Source organism: Homo sapiens, chromosome 3, assembly GCF_000001405.40.
Source record: "Homo sapiens chromosome 3, GRCh38.p14 Primary Assembly".
NCBI classification, from domain to species: domain Eukaryota; kingdom Metazoa; phylum Chordata; class Mammalia; order Primates; family Hominidae; genus Homo; species Homo sapiens.
This window is the reverse complement of record NC_000003.12, coordinates 165,720,728-165,721,936: the sequence shown is the minus strand read 5'-3', so window position 1 is coordinate 165,721,936 and position 1,209 is coordinate 165,720,728. Positions and strand designations below refer to the sequence as shown.

At 48.4% G+C, this 1,209-nt stretch overlaps 2 annotated features.

Moving 5' to 3' along the window:
* Positions 208-708: an enhancer, noted in NCBI's record as "H3K4me1 hESC enhancer chr3:165439017-165439517 (GRCh37/hg19 assembly coordinates)". NCBI's record gives its function as "activates a minimal SCP1, AML or CMV promoter by ChIP-STARR-seq in naive H9 embryonic stem cells {active_cell/tissue: H9 hESC(naive)}" and the evidence as "EXISTENCE:reporter gene assay evidence [ECO:0000049][PMID:30033119]".
* Positions 709-1,209: an enhancer, noted in NCBI's record as "H3K4me1 hESC enhancer chr3:165438516-165439016 (GRCh37/hg19 assembly coordinates)". NCBI's record gives its function as "activates a minimal SCP1, AML or CMV promoter by ChIP-STARR-seq in primed H9 embryonic stem cells {active_cell/tissue: H9 hESC(primed)}" and the evidence as "EXISTENCE:reporter gene assay evidence [ECO:0000049][PMID:30033119]".

Genomic DNA, 1,209 nt, shown 5'->3' with positions numbered 1-1,209 from the left:
ACCGTTAAAGAGCTGTAAGTTCCACAAAAACAGAGATAGTTTTATATATTGAGTCTTGAAAACAGAAAGTTCTTAAAAGAATATTTGCTGATTATTGGATTGACTGATATTGGTGGTAGAAGGTCCTTTATTCCACTCAGATTTCTTCTTTCTACATCCATCTTCTGGGATTATAGCATATTACTTCTTTAATAATTTTGCTTTTGGTTTGAGATTTTTTTTGAAAAACACCACCTTCAGTCCTTAGTAACCTGTAAGTACTTCCTTCACTTAACTCTTTATCAGCAATATCTGTATATGCAGCATACAGCACAGCTTCATTTGTTAGATGTCAATAATATTTTGTTGACCAAATGAATCAATTAATGCATGAAAGTGAAGTTAATGGTAAGTAAAATCACGGAAGTCTTACATGGTGAATATAATTTACTGGGAGGAGCCTACATTGAGGATTTATCCAAAAGTGTAATTGACTGGCAGCAGCAGCCCACCTGGATCAACTGCTGCAAAGATGCCGGCTGCAGCAGGGGAGGCACAGCTGGCAGCATGCTCCATGGATCTGGCAGGAGTCAGAAACAGGTGGAATCTCTGCTCCCTTCCTAGTTGGTGGGGCAGGAGCCCTTCCCTCCCGGGTGCAGCTGCAGCTGCCCAGTTGCCCTGGTGGACCTGGACATCCTTGGGCTCTTGAAGACTGTGAAGCCCCCTTCACTCACGGGCTTGGAAGTGCCTGCTCCCCACGCCTGGCCTCTCCCCACCCCCAGTGCCTACTCTGATTTTGGAGCCAAGTTGAGGCCAAGCGTGGGTGCTGTTGCAACCTGGCAAGGTGTGCTTGCACTTGGGGCAGTGCTGAAATGCCAGCCCCCTCCCACCTCAGCCCCCTCTGGACTTTGATCACCAATGAACATGGGAGGAAGGCCAAGGGGGCCCTGAGGGAAGCTCAGTGTAGGCCTGAATGCACCCCTCAGCACAAACAGCCTGGGTGCCTGGACAACATGATTAATGATGACAGGAGGCAGACAAGAAAAGGGGCAGGTCCCCGGTAAAGCCAGACCTTCAAGCCAGGGATGGCTTGAAATCTGGGGTCCAGGCTGTCAGTTCCAGGTGGAGTCCATGGCTCAGAGTGAGAACTTACGGTGCTTTTTCCAGGCTTGCCCATGGCCACCCATGGACTAATCAGCATGCACTTCCTCCCTTCTGAAGCCCATAAAA